Here is a 22,220-nt window from a genome sequence, read left to right on the forward strand (position 1 = left end):
AAGTGCTGAGATTACAGGCGTGAGCCACCGCGTCCGGCCGAAAACTCATCTTTTCTTATAGCAACTACACTTAGTATCATTTCCCTTTGCTTTTCTCTATTACTCACACACACAAACCTATGCTCTATATTCCTTTTTCGCTTGTATCTTGTTTCATTCAGTGACCACCACCTGAATCAATAGGCACTGCTCAGGGAGATTAGAAGATTTGGAAGGTATAGAAGCCATGGGCATTTTAGTAATCAGAAGGAAATAACATTCTAGCCTGCTTGGCCGGAACTGCCATCTTCCAGTAATTCACCAAAATAACGAATGCAAAAGGAAAGAGCAGAGGCACCCTATATATGTTCTGTAGGCCTTTTAGAAAACATGGAGTTGTTCCTGTGGCCACAAACACATGAATCTATAAGAAAGGTGATATTGTAGACATCAAGGGAATAGGTTGAAAAAGGAGTGCCCACAAGTGTTACCATGGCAAAACCGGAAGAGTCCCAGTGTTCCTCCGCATGCCGTTGGCATTGTTGTAAACATACAAGTTAAGGGCAAGATTCCTGGCAAGAGAATTAATGTGTGTATTGAGCACATTAAGCATGCTAAGAGCCAGGATAGCTTCCTGAAACGTGTGAAGGAAAATGATGGGAAAAAGAAGGAAGCCAAAGAGAGAAGTACCTGGGTTCAGGTGAAGCGCCAGCCTGCTCCACCCAGAGAAGTGCATTTTGTGAGAACCAACTGGAAGGAGCTTGAGCTGCTGAGACCCCTTCCCTATGGATTCATGGCATAATAGGTGTAGAAAAGTAAAAGGCCTCTGAACTGTAAAAATGTTTCTCTTCTTTGAGTAGAAGTGGGTGTCCTCTCCCCTAAAGAAATATTTAAAGCAAATTTAAATTTTGCCCTTATTCATTGTGTAATGTCTTTACTATTAATATTAAATTTAATGTTTTTCTTGCTGAAAGATGTGGCTTATTGTGCAACAAATTACTCAATTGGTTAGAAAACGGCCAGATATTACTTATAAAATATTTTTACTGGTTTGAAAACTGTCCCTCTAAATCATCATGTAAGAAATAAAATAATTTTGAAAAAAAATTCTAAGTAATTCTGGGCAAAGTATATAATTTATGCAATTGCATATAAATCTATGCCAGCAACTGCATCAAACCACAACTTTTATTTTTAAAGTTTATATTACTCTAAAAAAATACAGAAGGTTTCCAAATGATCAGTTTTCTTCAAGTCTTACAGATAATTATTTTAAGAAAAGGCTTTTCATGAGTTTTAGCAGGATCTTTAAATAAAGTTACCACATTATAAGCACAAAAAAGTTTTTTTCTTTGTCTTTACATATAAAGACAAAAAGGGAAGCATGTTTTACATAGACAGCCATAAAAGACAAAAAAGCAAGAATGCCTCAGAGACCTAAGAGTAGAGCCAGAAGGCAAAAGCCCAGAATAAACTGTAGAACAGGGGTCCCCAATCCCAACCCTTGGCGGTTGATGGGTACCTGTCCATGGCCTGTTAGGAAATGGGCGACACAGGAGGTGAGCGGCGGGGACATTACCGCATGAGCTCTGCCTCCTGTCAGACCAGCAGCAGCATTAGATTCTCATAGGAGCGCAAATCCTATTGTGAACTGAGCATGCGAGAGATCCAGGCTATGGCTCCTTATGAGAATCTAATGTCTGATGACCTGATGTGGGACAATTTCATCCTGAAACCATCCACTCCCAACCCCCATGAAAAAACTGTCTTCCACAAAACTGGTCCCTGGTGCCAAAAAGTCTGGAGACCCACTGCTTTAGAAAGTGGAAGATGCTGAGGGCTTCTTTAGTTGTGTTCAGGGTAAGAGAATGGAGAAGACGTGAACACTGCTGGGGAGTATCACACTGAATAAAGAGAAACAGAACTACTCAGGTCCTAGTTTAATTTGTCTTCTTTGTTACTGTGGATGTCAGTCTGAAATTAAAGATAGCTTCCAGCATGTGTAAGATCCCCTACACTCTGCACTACACGTGTAATCACATCTGTAGTTTTATGTTTGGTTCTAGGTTTAATATTTTAACAGGACTCAAAGGATACTTAAGTATCTTGAAGCAAATAGCATTTGTTCATGAATTCATTTTTTTCAATAAACACTTCTTAAGCATCAACTATATGCCAGGCTCCATATTATATGCTAGAAAGTAGACTCTCAGTCATTTAACTCATGCATGCCTGTCAGGTTCCCAGCATTATAAACAAGCCAGTTAAGTTCCTTGCTATCGCAGAGCACACAGATACATTAAAAACTTAAAATACAGTATAAAAATCACTGTAGTAAAAGGTGTGTAAAAGCAAAGTAAAGCATTTATGAAGCACAGAGGACAGAATAACTCATTTGGCTGGAAGACGAAAGGGTCCAAACTGGGCCTTGATGAATGAGTGACTCAGTATGGAGGAAGGGATGAAGCACACTGCAGGTGGAGGGTTGCATCTGCAGTCACTGAGGTGCAAAAGGACAGAGAGGCTGCATCAGGAATAAGGAGCAATTTGATCATATGAGAAGCAGTCAGAGAAACCAGAATTTTTTAACCTGGAAAATACAAGACTTATGGCTGGTGTACTATTGTTATTCTCAAATATCTGAAAGTCTGTCAAGTGATAAAGAGAAATTCCATTCTGTAGGGCAAAATCAGAATCAATCCATGGAAGTGACAGAGGGGTATATCAGGGGTTGATGTCAGAAAAAAACTTGCAATGAGAGTTGTTTCAATGGAATGAGGTGTCTTTTATGGAAATAACATCAAACTACAGGAAATACTGAAGCAGAGCTCGAATATGTCAGAGGATTAAAGAGGCAACTTCTACGTTGGGTTGAGTGCTGACCTGTAAAGTCCAATTCTTTAGGTTATTCAAAAGCTAAGATCAGGTCATAGTATTCTAAGAGAACACACTAGATAGAATTTAAGAGAATCTGGGAGAGGGAAGAGACCTTGGAGATTATTGAATCCAATACTTTCACTTTGCAGATGAGAAATTGAAGCCCTGGAAAGATAAATGGCTAGTTTAAGGTCATCTAGCAAATCAGTGGCTCCATCTGAACTGGAATCCTCTCTTCAGCTTCCTGTGTGTTGATCATTGCACAATATCACACTGCTACTATGAAATGAATTCCAATATCTCAACCTAGAATTCTCAGTGAATGTACAGATATTATAACCAAAACACAATCTATAATCTTAAAGGAAAAATGGGGAACAAGATGCTCAACTGCTACAGAACTGGAGATGGGCATACATTTTTCCTGATTTTTCAAAAATACAGAATTTTATAGTGATTTTTATCTCAATACAGGAGAATATAAACCAGATTAATAAATAATGATAAACAGAAAGAAGAGGTGATCACAAGGAACCAGCACGGAAGAATAATTGCAAAGTAACCTTTATTTTTTAACGTGGTAAGGAAATTTGTTCATTCCATCCATTTCTTTATTCTATCAACAGAGATGTTTAAGTGCCTGTGATTGGTCCCACACTCACCTATGGACATATCAGGAAGATAAAAGACTAAGTCTCTGGCTTCAAGGAGTTCAGAATAATACGATGCAATATGCCCGATGACACTATAGGAGGTAAGAGAGGATGTTTGGGAGTGGGTGTGGGTAAGGAAATCATTCCCAGAAGAGGTGATATCTATGCTAGGATTAGGAATTTTGGAGGCTGAGTAAGAGCCAGGTGAGGACTTTCAAGGTGGAGAAAGTAGAATATAAAGGAATAGCTCATTTGAGAAATTGAAGGCAGTGTAGTGCTGTGCTGTGCTGTGCTGTGACTATAATGTATTTGTATTTCAGCAGTTGACAAAAATCTAAATGATACATAACTTTTGTGCATAATATACAAGGTACATGGATTACTGACTGGCTAAATGGGCCCTCCACATTGGAAAGAGGACCACATTGATGTAAATGGGAGGAAAGGTTTTAAGTGGCTTTGTCCAGTTTTATGTGGTTAAAAATAAAGCAAAAGTATGATTTGAGGGAGAAATAATGTAACGACTAATATAGAAAATTCACAGGTATGAAGCTTTAGTTAACAACATATTCTATGAGACAAAGTGAAGCAAATTAGGATTATTAAAGATATTGTAGAACAGATAAAAGCATCAAGGACAAGATTTCTTCTGACTTTAAGAATCTGTATTTGTGCAGATGATAGTTTTACAAAATGAGAGGCCCAAGTGACTAGAAAGAGCGCACAACTAGAAATATTTCTGAATTCAAGTCTAGGATGTGCCATTTATTATACATCCAATCTTAGGCAACCTCCTTGGGATCCATTTTCCCTGTCTCCAAAGAGAGAAGGTTAGCCTAGATACTCTTTATTAAATTTCCAGTTTTAAAAATAACTCCACAATACAATTAGCCTTTAAGAATTCAACACTTATTTCATATCCCAAGTTCCTAGACTATTGTAGGTCCTCAGCAAGTATTTCCTGAATGAATGAATCAATTACTTCTGTATAGGCCTCCACTGTATCCTATGAGTTACAAAGGACAACGGGAAAAACAGGGAAAATGGTCTGCCACACTGGGGCCGGGTAAAAATTCATATTTTAAGGTTGGTCCCTCTTCTTTCATTGGAGGATATATATAATCAGCAAAAGAGAAAGTATGCCTTCTTTATAGAACCTTTATTGACTTTTTGTATTAAAACAGTAATACATACTCATCATATTATATAGAGTGACGTAAACTAAAAACCCCTGGTAATTCTATTACCAGTAAGTTGACATTTTTCATATTTTGGTACACAGCCTTTCAGGCTTTTCTCTCTCTCTCTCTCTCTCTCTCTCTCTCTATATATATATATATATATATACATATTTTTTTTTTTTTTTTTTTTTTTTTGAGACGGAGTTTTGCTCTTGTTGCCCAGGCTGGAGTGCAATGGCATGATCTCGGCTCACCGCAACCTCCGCCTCCCAGGTTCAAGCGATTCTCCTGCCTCAGCCTCCCGAGTAGCTGGGATTACAGGCATGTGGCACCACGCCCGGCTAATTTTGTATTTTTAGCAGAGGCAGGGTTTCACCATGTTGGTCAAGCTGGTCTCAAACTCCCGACCTCAGGTGATCCGCCCACTTTGGCCTCCTAAAGTGCTGGGATTTACAGGCGTGAGCCACTGTGCCAGACCTATACATACACATTTTTAAAACAAGTATCCTATTGTGCCTATCTATATGCTGCTTTAAAGCCAGTCTTTTACTCCCTTTGAAAATACAGTGTGGATTTTTCAAGATGGCATAGTACTCTATTGCATAAATATGCTGTAATTTATTCAACAAATTTTCTATGCTTAAACATTTAGGTTATTTCATTTTTTCTATCAAATATGTTATGATAAAAATCTTTTGAAAGTTTTAAAATTTATTCTTTAAGATGATAGGCATAGAATTGTTGGGTGAGAAAATATGAAACTTACTAAGGCTTTTGGATGTATCTCCCTAAATGACTTCCAGAAAAGGCTATGCCAATGTATATTCCCTCCAGCAAAGTATAACAATTCCTGTCTCCTTGTGTCATCAAACATGGGCATTATCAATTTTTAAAATCTGTGCCAATTTGGAAGGCAAAAATACCATAGTTGTTTTAATATGCATTTCTTGTCTTGGCTTACATTTGTTTAATTCCTTTAATAGTAGGTCAACATTATAAACAGGGTTGTACTAGAATGTGTGCCATACAGTGAATTAGAAAAATACACAAAAGATTACTGGACATCTTATACAAGTGAAATCATTTATTTATCTATTCATTTTCATTTATTCCATTTATTGAGTGCTTTTCTATACTGTGGATAGTTCTGAGTACTGGTGAAATAAAAGCAAAAACACACAGTCCCTGCTCTCAAGGAGCTCACAGTTAAGAAAACAGATATGTAAGTATGCTACTGTAATATGGTGTTATCAGCACTCTAATAAAAGTATATACAAGGTTAGTAGTGTCTCCATGATGGGTAAGGAAAGGGTGTTTCTTTAAAAATAATCAGACCCAGAATAAGGGGGGAAACCCTCCATGTCTACAGGATGCAGTAGAGATCTTGGGCATTCCAGAGACAAAGAAAGGTGCTGCAACTTCTGGACATAAAGAAGTTCCAATAAATCCAATCTTACATCATAAAGACTAAGCTTACCATCACCAATTCATACATTGGAAGTTCAAGAACCAGATTTCCCTTATTCAGTTGGTGGTCTGTCATCTTTTTTCCAATTATTTTGTAACATTGGACTAGTCAACATACCATCTTATGACCAAATTTAAAACAAATTACTGGTTAAGGAAAAAAATGACTCATTAGTAAGTAAAGTGACAAGCAGAACAAATGAACCATCCATCCTTCAGGAAACTTTTTTAAAAAAAGATTTTCTGCATGGTTTATCTTGTGGTTTGCTTCTTCTGACAAGGCAGCAACCTTAGAAATGATATCAGCATGAAAAGTTCATGACTTATTCACCTGTGACATAACTTTGGAGTCTCATGGGAGTTCCAAAGTTTTTCTCCTGATCATGAGATTTGGTGGCTTCACATATTTACTTCCCCCCCCCCCCCGCCACCCCTGTGTTAACAGGTTTACTGGCAGATGCAGGAGGTGACATTCCAGTGGCTCCATTATTTTCATTAGTCAATATCATTTATTCTTTGTCATTAAACAAATATTTGGAACCCACTACATTCAAAGCATAGCATTAGGTTTTACTTAGCATTTTACAAACACTTTTAAGTACAATATCAATATGCACATCAATCTTACCTCTACCTCACAGAAGAGGAAAAAGGGAGCTCAAGTTATCTTCTCAAGGTCACATAGTCACTAAGAAGCAAAGGACTCTGAACACAGATCTCTGAACTCCAAACCCAGGGCTCTTTCCAGCCTTCCTTACTAGTCTCCCTGTCCTCAGATTTTCCTGCTGCCTAATTAATGTTCTTAAAACACCAAAGTAGCCCCAGCCTTCATCGCGTCTCATCTGCTCTGAAAATCCACTTTGACTATTTCAGTCCACAGAACTCACTCTCCTCTGAACTCCTATAGCTTATTGTCATATTATTCAACTGGCACTAACTCAGAAAATGCTTAGTGAGATCTGTCTTTAATTATGAAATAATTTTAGTGTCTATTTAGAAGACACTGTGCCCGGTTATGTGAGACTGCTCCAGTACTACTTAAACGTAAGTTTTATTCAGTTCTGCAAATGCTTTTGACAACCTACCATGAGTCAGGCACCATGCTGAGAGCTGAAGACATGGTTTCTGCCCTCAAGAATCTCAGTCTAATGGGAATGTGGATATGTAAACGTTTTACAGACATATGTGTACAATTGGTCATTCATTCATTAATTCAGTAAGCAAACTCAATTTGCAGGCCATGAGAGATAAGTAAAATACGGTCCATTTCTTTTAAGTAACTTGCAGTCTAGGATCAAAGAGAGACGTGAATTTTTTCATTCATTAAATACCTATTATGTGGTGGAAACAAGTGAGGAACACCTATGAATAACATGGTCTCTGTTCACAGAGCTGTTTCCTTTTTAAGGATCATAATCTTCAAAGGTAGAAACTAACAACTACACTGTTTTATCCTGTGTAATAAGAGGGCATAGCAAAGCCTGGGCCTATGGATATTTATTGGATATTGATTCATTCCTTCATTCTTGTATCTACTCCAAGTCTCTCTTGGTAGTTCTTACATATCATCCTTTTTTAGACCAGCTCTAGATAATGAATCTAAGATAGAATTATCATAAACCTTATAGTTCTAGTGTAAGTATTTCCAAAGATACTTGGAATATTTTTCATGTTATTCCAAACACCAACCACTTCTTGGCTTTTTATAGAGAGAATAAAATAGAAATTCCTAAATAGAAATTCAGTTTTCTCACTCTATTACTTTGTTCACATGTTTGATGTCAAGGTGCAAATGTGCAAGTAGTGGTTTTTAAAACCTGCTATTCAGAGAGCAAGGAGTTCCTTTGAGGTTTTTCAGAAATAATACTAGCAGCGAGGAAGACAGGGAGCTTCCCACTTAACCAGAGTATTTTAGCTTTCTGTTTTAAATACTGTGCTTCTAGGTAAAACTTATTTTGCAATAGGGTCCTGCTACTTAATTAAAAAAAAACTGATTTAAGAGACTCAATGTAATAAGACATCATAGAATTTTGGCTTTTTATTTTTTAATATTTCTCTTTTTTAAAAATAGAGTCCTTCCTATGAAGTCAAACCAATCCACTTTTAAAGACAGCCATAGTAGCTATGTTACTGAGCATTTATTACTTGGTGCCAACTACACTGTAAATTGATCATTTAGTCATATTTAGCATCCATTTAATGAACCATTTCACTATACTGCCTACAAAGAAAGCAAGTAATACAAATCAGTGTGCATCATTGACATTACAGATTAATTTCCTAAGAGATTTGCATTTCTAAATATGTCTATGTAGACAGAAGAAATAAGACCTGGTGTTCGATATATCAGTAGGATGACTGATCTATTAACACTAAACTATTGTACATTTCAAAATAGCTAAAGAGAATTCGAATGTTCCTAGTGTAAAGAAAACATAAATATTTAAGGTGATGGATATCCCAATTATCTTCATTTAATTATATGAATATATCATACTATCACATGTACCCCCCAAATAAATACATTATGTATCAATGAATTTTAATTATATGAATATATCATACTATCACATGTACCCCCAAATAAATACATCATGTATCAATGAATTTTAATTATATGAATATATCATATTATCACATGTACCCCCCAAATAAATACATCTATTATGTATCAATGAAAAAAATGTATCTGAGTGGTTCAATTTTTCCATTTGACTCTACTATATATAACACTTATTGAACACAAGTCCATCCTATGAGGTTCAATTGATGTTTTTCCAGATAGCAAAGAGTAACTAATATTTACTGCCTGTATTTCATTTCATCCTCAAAATAATGCTATTAGATAAGGACTATTATTATCCTCATGTTACAGACAAGGAAATGAAAGAACTAGCACACAGAAATAGGTACCCTAAAAGGACTAGGGGTGCAAGAGGACCATGTATGGGAAAACTTTCCAGGTGAAAAGCAGGAAAAAGAACCTCATTCCAGAAGGTTCCATTTCATGTCAAACTTCTCAAACTGACGTAAGCCAGATAGAGAGAACCTCCCAATTTCCACATCTATGTCTCCTGTTTACTCCAATGACTAAAAAAGGCTTGACCTCCCACTCTCTATGGCTGCCAATAACTGCTCTTGAGGAATGGGGTTAAAGTCTGCTTGAAGAAGTAGTGGGAGCAAAGATAGAAGGTTAGAATTGTCTCCATAATCTTTAGACGTGTTAATAGGAAAAGCATCTCTCTAAGGGTAAAAATGTGAAAATAAGTTTTTTCAAAGGCCCCAATTCCCTGACCGTTTTCTTATTTTTCTCTCTCTCATTATTCACATGTTCAAACACTGTAAACTGAATTGTGTGATGGGCACTTGGAGGCACCAAAAATAAGTGAGTCAGGATTTCTATTATTGAAGGGAAAAAGACATTTAAATAGATACAGCACAAGATATTAAGTGCTGTAAGATGCTACAACAAAGCTTATTTAGGCAGGGACTATATTTTATTCATCTTTGTAGCCACGCTCATATAATAATACCCAGCACATAGTTAATTATTTCCTGAAAAAATGTTTTCATGTCCAGGATTTCTTCTGACTGGCTTTAATATTCATATATGTGGTGGAAGACCCTCTATATCAAATCTGAGTATAATTAAGCTACACTTGAGTTTCCTTGGAAACTCCTTGGAATATAAATATACATTTATATTCAAATGTATATTAGCGTCAACTGCCAGTCCTAGATGTACTAAAATCAATTAGCCTTATTTTATGCTTTCCTAGCACTAGAAAAAAACATAGTAGATGGCAAACCTGTCACATAAGAAACAACTGCATTCATTAATTGAGATTGAATGTAGGTGCAGGTTGAATATCTCTTATCCAAAATGCTTGGGACCGGAAGTGTTTTAGATTTCTTTTTTTTGATCTTTGAATATTTGCATATTCATAATAAGATACCTTGGGGATGGGACCCAAGTCTAAACATGAAATTCATTTATGTTTCATATACACTTTTTACACATAGCCTGCAGCTAATTTTATTTTTCTCTTGGGAACAGAGTAAACTGTTGTACACCTGCATTTTGACTGTGACCCATCATATGAGGTCAGGTGTGGAATTTTCCACTTGTGGCATCATGTCAACACTCAAAAAGTTTTGGATTTTGAAGCATTTTGAATTTCAGATTTTCAAGTTAAGGATGTTCAACCTGCGCTGTTTGGCTATATTAATTCATGTAGAACTCTTCACAATCTAGAAGCAAGCCTGCCCTCTAGTGCTAAAACTGTCAAATTGAATTGGAATAGCAATTTCCAACAATGAGAAAAAGAAACTAGCACTCCAGATGTTGTTATTCTTAATATAAAAAACTGTATTACTTCAAAACAAAAACTTTATTCCAAGAATAAAGTGACACTCCCTCCTCAATTTAATTTGCCATTTGTTTACATATTTGGCAACTATTATCAATCTTGCTTTTTAAATCTTAGTGCTTCTACAACACTATAGAAAGTAATGGTTTGTATATGTGTGGTAGAAAATGTTAACATTTTATTTCTATTTGAAAAATCACAAAAGTTGGCCTTGAATTTCATCGATCATATGTCTTCAATTAAGTTCTATCCTCTGGCTACACTTACTCTCTAAGTGGTTTCATCCATGTCCTGACTTAAAATAAGATTACACACTGATGACTTCCAAATATATTTATCTCCAGCCCAGACCTCTACTTTTCCAGGTTCAAATATCCAACTGCCCACTCTACATTTTCCTTTGGACGTCTGACAGACAAGTCTACCATAACATATCCAAAAGTAAACTCTCAATCTACCCGCTTAAGCCTGCTCCTCTGAGTCTTCGCCATCTTATTAATGCCCACTTCATTCTTCAAGCCAAAAACCTTGATCATTCTTTTTTTCATACCTCACATCCATTCTATCAGCATATCCTTTTGGTGCTACCACCAAAATACATTCAGAATCTGACCACTTATTATTTCCATTACTCTTAATCTCAAATTGTACCATTTGTCACCTGGATTTACCATATTATCTTCCTACTACTACCTGCTTCCATCCTTGCTTTGATCTGAATCCTAATTGCTTGCTAGCTCACTCAGTAAAGTCCTACTCTTGAGAAAGGGCTATAATGCCCTACGTAATTACCTACAATCAGGCAGGATTATTACTCCCAATCTCTCTCAGTTCATTTTCTAATTCTCCCTAAAATGCTATTATTGTTCACTACAGTCACACTGATCTCTTTACTGTTTCTTTACACTCTGTACCAGCTCAGGGCCTTAGCATGTAATATTCCTTCTGCCTGGAATGCTCTCCTCCCAGATATCCACACTGCACAACCATTCACCTCCTCAGGCCTCTGCTCAATGTCACATATCAGTGTACATGCTACTTAATAGTAATCCTATCCTCACACACTCTCTGGGCCCCTTCCTCAACTTACTTTCCCCATATAACCTTGTCACCAAATGATAAACTATTTTACTAACCAATTAAAATAAAAATCCCATAAAGGTTCGAAATTACTGTCTTGCTTCGTGCCCTGCAATATATTCAGGCCTAGAATACTTCTTGGCATATAGTAGATGCTTGAGATTTGTTAAATTAATGATTTAGTCTAAGGAGAATATTAATAATTTTGTTTGATTATAAAAATGGCAGGATAACACAGGAAATCCTAGCTATTTCTTTTTATAAAAGACAGTAAATTTGTCAGAAAAAAATAAACTATCATAACTAACCACTTCTTGTTCAAGTAACAAGACGCATTCATTTAACACCTACTAAGTGCTGTGGATAGGGCCTATTTGAACTTCGTAACAATACTGGTAGGTATCATTATCGCCATTTTACAGAAGAAACTGAAAATGACATAGGTTAAGTGGCTTGTTTAAAAGTGACATTAACAGGAATGTCACAAAAAGAAAATCAAACTCAGGTTTCTCAGATAATACTTCTATAAACTCTCTCTCAATAGGCATAGTTTCAGGGAATAATGTAAATTTCAAATAGGTAAGATTTCTACATTTGTAGATAAAAGTAACTGTGTATGAACTTGCTCTAAGCCATTTTATTTGCATGACAGAATAGTAAAGTATATAAACTAACTTCACTTAAGTCAATACTCACAAGTTAATTCTGCTAAGTTTGATAAGTTAGTTTAAGTCTCAAATGACAAGTTGCTCAAATAAAGTTAGTTTTTCCTCTTTCATGGTTCAAAGGCAATTGTTAGCAACAGCAAATTTTTTTTTGACCTTCAAAATATGTGAGGAGCTTTTATCTGTGATCTATTTTCTATGTGAAAAAGTTAATTATTTCCCAGGAGTGGTGGCTCACACCTGTAATCCCAGCACTTTGGGAGTCTGAGGTGGGTGGGATCACTTGAGGGCAGGAGTTTGAGACCAGCCTGGCCAACATGGTGAAATCCCATCTTTACTAAAACAAACAAAAAAAAAAATACAAAACTTAGCTGGGCATGGTGGCAGGCATCTGTAATCCCAGCTACTTGGGAGGTTGACGCACGAGAATCTCTTGAACCCAGGAGGTCGAGGCTGCAGTGAGCTGAGACCGCACCACTGCACTCCATCCTGGGTGACAGAGTAAGACCCTGTCTCCAAAAAAAAAAAGGGAAAAGTTAATTATGGCTAATATTCTACACAAAACACACACAGCTCACAGAGTTTTGGGGAAATCTGGCTCTCTCTATATATTCACTTCAAGTATTTATTAGCTTTTTAAAATCCACAATTTTAACCTCATACTTAAAACCAAACCCATGAAGTATGTGGAAAAAATTCATTAATATCTTAAAGCTCAGAAAGCCAAAAACACCCCAGAAGGATAAAACTTCTAAAAAATGATATAATTTGGGGGAAAGCTAAGACATTTTTAATAAAACGTTTGCTATTAACTCCCATTTATGGACCATAGAGCCAAAAATAAATGCAACAAAGCTCCAATAAAATTGGCATTATAAGACAAGATTCAATACTTAGGTTAAAATCTAACCTTACTATATAGTGTTACTAGATGTATTTTAAGGAATATTTAACACATGGTAAATCAGAAACCATGTAAAAATGAGCCATATTATAAGAGGTTCTAATACATGACACAGCATACACAGCAAAATGTTTCATCGATCCTAAAAAGAAAATGGTCACACCAATAACAACTGGTCAGGAAAAGGAGCAAAGGAAACACTATCTGTACTAATAGAATGTAAAAGATTGTAAGGTGGACACAGCAAATGTATGATCGATCAGTTTTAAGACTGTTTTTAAAAACATAAATAAATTGTGCTTTAAAAGATCTAAAGATTTGTTCCAGTGAAGTACAAGTTCACTAGAAAAATCTCTACAATTAAATTAATGACAACTTATCCAAGGTTTGGGGCAGAAATTCATCTTTCCACAGTCTGTAAGTTTATCATAAAAATTAGACTGCTTTTTGGGCTTCCACCATACTAATCATAGGTCTATTAACAAAAAAGAACAAATCTTAAACAATAGGTTTACCTGGTTCTTACCAAATATTCCTGAAGTAATAAAACTATATCATTAAAAAAAGATATAATCCAGAATATTTAATAATTCAGACTAGCCTTTCCTATTGAGGAAGTTAATGAAATTGTTATTCCTCTTTCTCCTGAAAAAAAAATGATCCTTTCTTTGAAATGTTTCCTTGTGATGATTTCTAATGTCACTCAAAAAGTGGTATTTCCTCAAGAGGGAAGGATTCCTCCTTAGAGGTAAGAATTCTTCTTTAGGAGTAAGACTTTTGGGTTTTTTTGGGGGGGGTTTTAATTTTATTTTTTATTTTTGGCCTTTTGCTTTAACAAAGAAAGGCATTTAGTTTTCCTTTTTTTTTTTTATTAAAATGCCCTCAATTTATTTGATGCCTTAGACATTTAAAACATTAAGCTGTAAGAGCCTTGAAGGCCAGAACAAAGTTTTATCAGAGATGAATTATCACAATAGTTTTAAGTACACTTCTTTAAGAGGGCAGAAGAACAACACCTGGCATTCTTACCAATTACACCTCAAACTGAACATATATTTCAATAAATCCTTTCATAATTTCACATTAGCAAGTAGGCAGACAGGACATGTTTTGTTGAAGAAATACTTCAAAGTGAAATGTTTCATTTTATACGTATGTATCATGTATTCTGAATCTGTGCTATTCCACATACCTTGTATGCCTTGAAAACTCTGGAGTTATCTCAGAATTTACTCCCACCCCGACCCCGAGTGATGGCATTCAATATTAAGATATAATTTTTGGTTTGCTAGATGAAAAGGCATTTGTATTTAAGAGAAATACTCCTCAATCTAACATTCCCAAAGAAGGCTTCAAATTGCAGTTCAAGAAACACTAATCTAGAGTGCTTCTGAGTAAAAACCAATAAAATCTATACATTATACACAAAAATGCTACTACTGTCAAAAATGTATTATATCAATAATTTTATCAGCAGCATTTAAGAAATAAGAAATCATTAGACAATAGAAGACAAACATGGTAATGCAGTCAGGCCAGCACACAATACACCGTTTTCATCACACACTGTCACCTGAATCCCTGGCAATTTCCTAGAGGTATTAACATCATACCTTATTAAGAATTATTGGCCCCGAGGAGTGGGGGGGTGGGGGGGTTGCAATCTGTCCAATCAACATCTGGCTCTACTTTCTCCCAGTAGTATTACATTTGTATAATATTCTTATAGAAACAACTCAACTCCATGTTATAAAGCACCATACGGTATTTCATCCTGTACAAAGGGAAGTAGTTCTGAAAATTTTACAACAGGGTTCGTGGGAAGGCACTTAAAGCTAACTAGTCAAAAAAGGAACCACAACAGTTAGACTTTTTTATACTGCAGGGTCCTTAATATTGTATTGTTTATATCACTTAACATTTTTGATCATAAATTTCCCAGTAAATTAAATGCTATTCAAAATTAACAAAGGAAAGACAGGAAGGGACACAGCCCACACCCTGACTGATGAATTAGGCAGAGTAAATTTGCCTTCAAAGTAGGCAAATGTTATAACTTTAAGAAGGTAAGAGAAATAGATGGAGCAATAGAGTAAAGCAAGCGTGGCCTCAGTGGTACTGGACTCCAAAGTATGGCTAGGGTAGGATAGGACAGTTGACTTTAAGGGAAAAAATAAAGTAAATTTCATTTTCAGACTCAAAAAGTCTTAAAGGTATCTTTGGATAAGTATGCAAAGTAAATACTGTTGACCCTTGAACAGCATGAGTTTGAACTGTGTGGGTCTGCTTATACGCAGATTTTTTTAAACCAAACATGGATTGAAAATACAGTATTCCCGGGATGCGACACCTACATACACGGGGAGGGCTGACTTTTTATACAGGCAGGTTCCACAGGGATGACTGTAGGACTTAAGTATGCACAGATTTGGGTATACACAAGGGTCCTGGTATCAATCTCCTGCGTATACCAAGGATGCCTGTGCTTTCATAAATATACCTTTTAAAAAACATGTCATCTATAAGCTTTAAGTGTTCCCTATTTTACTCAAATACTGAAGATGAAAAAGATATTACCATTAGTTCAGGTTACAAATGGACAATTTATAAGATTTTGCTTATATGTTTTGGAATTTAACAAAAGTGGATATGTTCTTCAGTTCAGATGTGCCTTGAAGAGTCAACTAAATTATAAATTTAAAGGTCTACAAATCTAAATGCTTTCCTTATAATAAATTTGATATTAAAACATCATTCATAATATTAAATCCTAACACCACTGGTATGCTCAGTTCATAACTCAGTGATTCTAATACTTAAGAGGAGCATTCTGTATTATCCTTTTCTATAAGACATTTAGGAAAACTGTCTCCCACTATTATGGGTGTTTCAGAAAACTGTACAAAGTAATCTTATTAAGAAGGCAAGTAAAACAGTGGCAATCATTTTTTTCCCAGCTGATTAACTAAAAAGCAAACAATAAAACACTTTAAAATGTCATTCTCTTAGGTAATCAATATGGAGAAATCATTCTTTAAACAAATTCACCACTGAAAAATCAACCTTTACCTTAAATCCTAATAGAAACACTCCCTTATTATGGAAAAATAACCTCTTTACTTCTCTCTACTCAAACAATGACACTAGAAATGTTTCTGAAGTTGTGACTGGGCTATGAATATGAACAAAGTTTTCATATCACTGGGATACTGGATGGTTTGAAAAGGAATGTACAAACAGGCCTGCTGCTAGTACAAAAGTGCCTTTTACATGAATTAGGAAAGCCTTCCCTTTCCTCAAGACACTTGATTACCAACAGGCAGAAAATTGTGATAATTAGCAAGCTGCAATACTACCAACGTAAATGGCTCTATTGAGTTGTGCACAATTAATTATACCCAGAGTTCTCTCATGATTCCTTATTCTATTGTCTTCTTTTCCTATGTGTATCTTAATTAAATCCATATCACAGCTAACGTTCTCTTAAGGCAAAAAAAAAAAAAAAAAGTGCTTTAAACAAAATTCCCTATATAATGACAGTTAAAAATATAAATATGCTATTATCAACAATAATAATGATGATACAACTTAATAATACAACTTTTTTAGAAAACAAAACAACTGGACATAATCTTTCCAATTCTAAGCTCTCTGAGATAAGACATCTGCATAAGACCTTGGCAGCTTTTATAGAAACCCAGAGCTAAAAGTAGGAGCATTTTTCCAATACCTAGAAATGTTTATTAGCTGCATCAGCAAATCATTATCCCAGAAGTCAAGGCCAACAGTCTTCCAAATTGTGCAGAGATGACTATAATGAGCCATACCATCAGCAGACTATGTTGCCAAATATTAAGACTGTTTAAAATCTTGAAAATTCTGTAAATTCACGGTGAATTGGAACCTCAAAAATCAAAAAATTCAAATTTACAAAAATAAATACCACTCTGACACTCAAGGGACATCTTCACTTTAAGGCCTTTGTCACAAATCTGAATCTTTATTGTTCTGAAATAAATGTTATAAACATAACTCAAAACAAAAACTTCAATATTCAGTCTAAGAAGAGGTGTGGCTCAATGCCCATCACATGTAACAAGAAAAACCTCCTTTAAAAAAAGGAAAAAAAAGTACTATGAGAAGTCTTTCATATGAATGAAAATGCACCCGTTGGATTTTTTTCCCCCTCATCACATTAGCTTGTATACACGTGGGAATTGAAAGGTTTGCATTTTCTTCACATAGTTCTTGCTATGATGTCTGACGGACTTTTTGCCACTCAACAAATTCATCAAGAAGAACAGGCCCTAGAAAAAAAGAAACCATTTTTGTCAGAATTCAGTGAACTCATCTCTCCAATTATAAAACAAACTCCCCACGAGCTCTGCAATGACAGAGGAATGACCCTTCCTTTCTTTGGGTGTTCTGCTTCTAGACACCTTATTCCATTTAATGGTGCTTTCTTATTAGCCTTTTCTTTTTTGCCCTTAAAGACACAAGGAACAATGGTATCTATAGCAACTTCCTTCTCAAGGTGTTTCATGAACCCTCCAGTAACTGAGTCAATACAAATCTCTCCCTTTTTCTAAGTGTCCATAGCATTCTGGCATTTAATTATGAAACAATCTGAAAAGTGTTGAAGGTAATATTTCTATGTTGCCTCCCCAAGAAGTGTACAAGCTTGTTGAGAGGGATCAGCCATAATAGAGACTTACTTTATTCCAATAACAGGATGTAGTACAAAGCTGAACACAAAGCAAGTGCCTAATGAATATCTAATTAATGAGCTAAGTACTATTCTAAAACATATATTTTTATAACGTAGGGGAGGTCCAAACTCATTTGCTGACAGAGCCAAGTAGGCAGTTTAAATGAGCTCAGTGTTTATTTTGTTTAAATGTAGGAAAAAAATCACCGCCACAAAGAAATATGCTTGCTTTATTCTTCTTAAAACACATAATCCTCTGGTGGTCTTTTTCCATTGCTTTTGACAGACATGTTTCTCTATCGTAAGAAAAGCAGCAGAGCACATATGATAATAAATGGCAACTGAAAAACAGCCTAGGTGTTGGCATACCATGAACTGTCAAACTGAAAAGCAAGTCCAACACAGTTAACACTTGACTCCAGCCTCTGACTCCTATAAAGGAGTACTATAAAGGTACAGTTTTGTCAGACTTTTTAAATTTTTCCAACAAATCTAAATGTTGTATTTTAATACAAAATCTCCTAGTTTTAAATGCTGATACAAAATACATAAATATACACATCTACGGGCCATATACAGCCTTTGGGCTGCCAGGTTACTGCTGCTAGGTATTATTTCTTTAAAATAATACTAAATTTTATACCATCTTGTAGAGAGAGGACAAAATATATGTGGGAAGAAATAAAGTTATCCCTTCTTCTGTTATTTTATTTTTTCAGTGTCACAGAAAAAAGTGTATAATTTCAGTTTAAGTTTATAGGAATGTACCTTTCCTTGTAACCCTTCTGAACACTGAAAACACATGCAACCAACCAAAATGGTGGTTGGAACTGAAAAAAATTTATAGTTCTACAGAATTAACTTGGTTTATCTAATTAATTTATCATTATTTCAAAATCCTGTTTTATGGCATTCTAGCCTTTCCATGGAGGAGTATGGACAGATATTTTAACTTGACGGATTGAAAAATTATAACTATTTCACTATCAGTTAGCTCACAATCAATTTATAGTTTTCAGAGAGAAGTTATACTGACATTATTTGCCATATTGTTAATGGGTAGCATAATATTACAATAATGTTAAAGCTTTTTCTATTGTGGCTGATTGTTTTGCTGTTATATTTTTAAAATCATGACTGTACTTTTCTTCCATAGGCAAATGCCAGGAAAGACAGAAACAAAGCTGAATTTTAGCTTCTGGATGCAAAAATTATAATTTAAATTTAGCTAAAATGTTTGGTTGCCGAGGAACTGAAAACATTTCATTTACCAGCATAGATTTTATATAATACTGCTGAATCTAAGCTCTCTCTCTACTTCTCCCACAATCCCTCACACAATTAAATAAGTTACTATTACAAAGTTTAAAACCTCTATGCTAATACTACACAAATGCATACTCTCATTTAATATTTTTGGAAATTTTGTTTTCAAAGGAACATGTTATGTTATACTTACAAGCACCATCTTCATCATAGTTACTAAGATCAGCATGGACTGTTCTGCTGAATTCTAATACATTGTACCATTGATCTTTGTTCATAACACGATACTTTGATTGCTGCAAAAATGATTTAAATATTTGTATTTAAATATTTAAACAAACATCATTTACTCAATTTAGTAAACTAAGTTTTAACTGTTTTTGTGATTTGGTTTTTTCTAAAACATTTACTATTTTTTTAATTATTTGTGTTTCTAAGAGATTCCTCATGGGCATTTACATATTAACATAATCTATTTTTTACTTTTTTTTTCATTTTTGAGGAATAATAAGAGCACTGAGTACTAACAGTAAGGATAAAACTAACTTTTTCATATGTATATACTTGTGTTACCACCAATGAGATCAAGATATATAACATTTCCTACATCCAGTATGTTCTATTGTGCTGCTTCCTAGTAAATCATTTCTTTGCTCAAGATTTACTGTTTAGCCACATTTTGAGTTTGGCATCTTTGGAAACAAGTGAAAGAGTATAGGCTTCGATTTAAATCCCACCCTTGCCACTTAATTGAGTGATTTTGGGAAAGTTACTTAAGAATAGAAACCACCTCCTCATTTGTTAAATGGGGATAGAATTTAATTCAAAATGGTATTATAAAGATTTTTAAAAATATATGCCAAACAACCTGCACATAACAAGTGTCTGAAAATATTTAGTTCTTCTCAGCTCCCCATAGAGCTGAATATTTTTACATTCAGTTAAATTTATTTTTGCCCAAAACTACTAATAGGAAGAAAATAGATACCATCCATCAAAAATAATTTATAGGACTTACAGATTGAATCATGCGTAAAACTCATTCATGTAAGACCTTTTCATATCATTGTCTCTTTTTTTTTTTTTCTGAGACAGAGTCTCGTTCTGTCACCCAGGCTGGAGTGTAGTGGTGCAATCTCAGCTTACTGCAACCTCCACCTCCCTGGTTCAAGCAATTCTCGTGCCTCAGCCTCCCGAGTAGCTGGGACTACAGGCACAAACCACCACACCCAGCTAATTTTTTGTGTGTATTTTTAGTAGAGACGGGGATTCACCATGTTGGCCAGGCTGGTCTCGAACTCCTGGCCTCAAGTGATCTGCCTGCCTTGGCCTCCCAACGTGCTGGGATTACAGGCGTGTGCCACCACGCCCAGCTGATATCACTGTCTTGTATCACAACTTTTACTACTCTGGGAAAAGGGAAGCAGCTATAAGCAATGTGCTTTATGAGAAATTATTTCCAAAGGAAAAAGCATCTGTATTCAAGATATGGTGAGAACTATACCAATAACCCTAGAATTACAAAGGCACAAAAACAGATTTAAAAAAAAAAAACTAGACAAAGCAATGGAAAAAAAGAATAGCATCTTCTTAGAATCACTGCCTATAGTAGTTGCTATGATAAACCTTCTAAAAGAACACGTCATCATTTCAGCTTACATTTTTTTAGTAACCAGCATATTTAAGTATACTATTATAGCCATTCTCATATTTGTGGCCATAAAATATTAATAGCTTTATTCTGTTTCTTTAGATTGAGCCTAAGTAGAAAAGGAAAGTTTTATTACTAAATTGGTTCTCTTATGTACATTTCAGCTTAAGACCCTGTGTAACAAAAGAAGAAAATCAGATTTAGAAGCTTAAAGGTTTGTGTACTAGCATTAACTCTCTTATGAAAACCCCGAGAAACTAATTCTGCAAGACAAATGTCTGTGATACAATGTATTTCTTGGAGGTTTCTTTTATTTGGGGGACTGGGGGGGTAGGATTGAAAATATCTTAGGTACAAAATATATTAATAAACATGAACTTCTATCTAAAAATAGCAACTGATATGTACATATTTTAGAATTTTTTCTCTAAAGTTTTTTTAAAGCATACTATTAAAAATCTACTTGTTCCTCAAAAGTATAACTTTCAGATTAAGTTTTAAAATAATATTTTCAAAATTCGAAAAAACATACGTACCTCCAGGTACTGGTAAAATACTGAAAACAGTGGCCATGTCCTCCCAAGCAGAAGAGCTAACATAGATTTAGCAGTATCAATATCAAGGCTTCTCTGATCTTTATCCTAAAATATAAGTGAAAAAGTTTTCCTAAGTGTGGTCTCAAGATGAAAAGCTATTAAAACAACAAAACAAGAAAATTGCACCTACCCTTGCAAAATCAAAGGCATATCTGTAGATATTCTTAAATGACGAAATATCATTCAACTGTGAGCGCAAAAAGTCAAATTTGTTTTGTAACTTTTCTGTGCAGTCACACCTTAAATAAAAGAAATATCAAACAAATTACATAATCAAGAAAATCAAATAAAAGTATCACTGGGGGTTAGACGTAATGCATTAAGAAAAAAGTGAGCGCATTTATGAAGTTAATTTAGTTTTAAAATTCTGAGTCACAAATTTAGAGTAATAAATTTCTTGCCCTGCATCTACCAATGCAATAAAAAAAGAAAAAAGGGGAAAAAAGAAAACCTGGGAATCAAAGAAAGTTCACTCCAATTACTTTGCTTAAAAACAAACAAACAGCTCATTCAAAAATTCCAAATAAAATCGAAGTTAAAAAGAGATGTATTAAAACATGTTTTATCACATATACAGCTAAAAATGGCAGAGCAAATGAAACTAATCACGCCTTTGTCACACATTTCTTTAGAAAGTTCGTAGGTAACAGTTTGGTGAAAGACATTAGTCATGAGTAGTTTTAAAAGTTTAGGATATAACACAGTGCAAATTAATACATTAAGTGGTCCAGTCATAAATCAAGATCCCTATATTTTTGTGAACAAAAAGTCAAAGTCAATCAGTAGAAGCACCTAACTTCAAATAAGTTATATATGCAAAAGC

At 34.9% G+C, this 22,220-nt stretch overlaps 1 protein-coding gene and 1 pseudogene across 4 annotated transcripts in view; one reads left to right on the forward strand and one right to left on the reverse strand.

The window, feature by feature from the left end:
- RPL21P96 (ribosomal protein L21 pseudogene 96) lies at positions 272-808 on the forward strand (annotated as a pseudogene).
- DCUN1D5 (defective in cullin neddylation 1 domain containing 5) overlaps positions 5,755-22,220 on the reverse strand; it is a 41,475-nt gene continuing 25,009 nt past the window's right edge. For all 4 annotated transcript variants that reach the window (NM_001318740.2, NM_032299.4, NM_001318741.2 and 1 more), the window contains 4 exons: positions 21,528-21,636; positions 21,338-21,442; positions 19,344-19,446; positions 5,755-17,483 (listed from right to left, as the gene is read on the reverse strand). In NM_001318740.2, the coding sequence (NP_001305669.1) occupies positions 17,428-17,483; positions 19,344-19,446; positions 21,338-21,442; positions 21,528-21,636 (373 nt within the window). In that variant the 3' untranslated portion in view covers positions 5,755-17,427. The remainder of the gene's footprint in view (positions 17,484-19,343; positions 19,447-21,337; positions 21,443-21,527; positions 21,637-22,220) is intronic.

Source organism: Homo sapiens, chromosome 11, assembly GCF_000001405.40.
Source record: "Homo sapiens chromosome 11, GRCh38.p14 Primary Assembly".
NCBI classification, from domain to species: domain Eukaryota; kingdom Metazoa; phylum Chordata; class Mammalia; order Primates; family Hominidae; genus Homo; species Homo sapiens.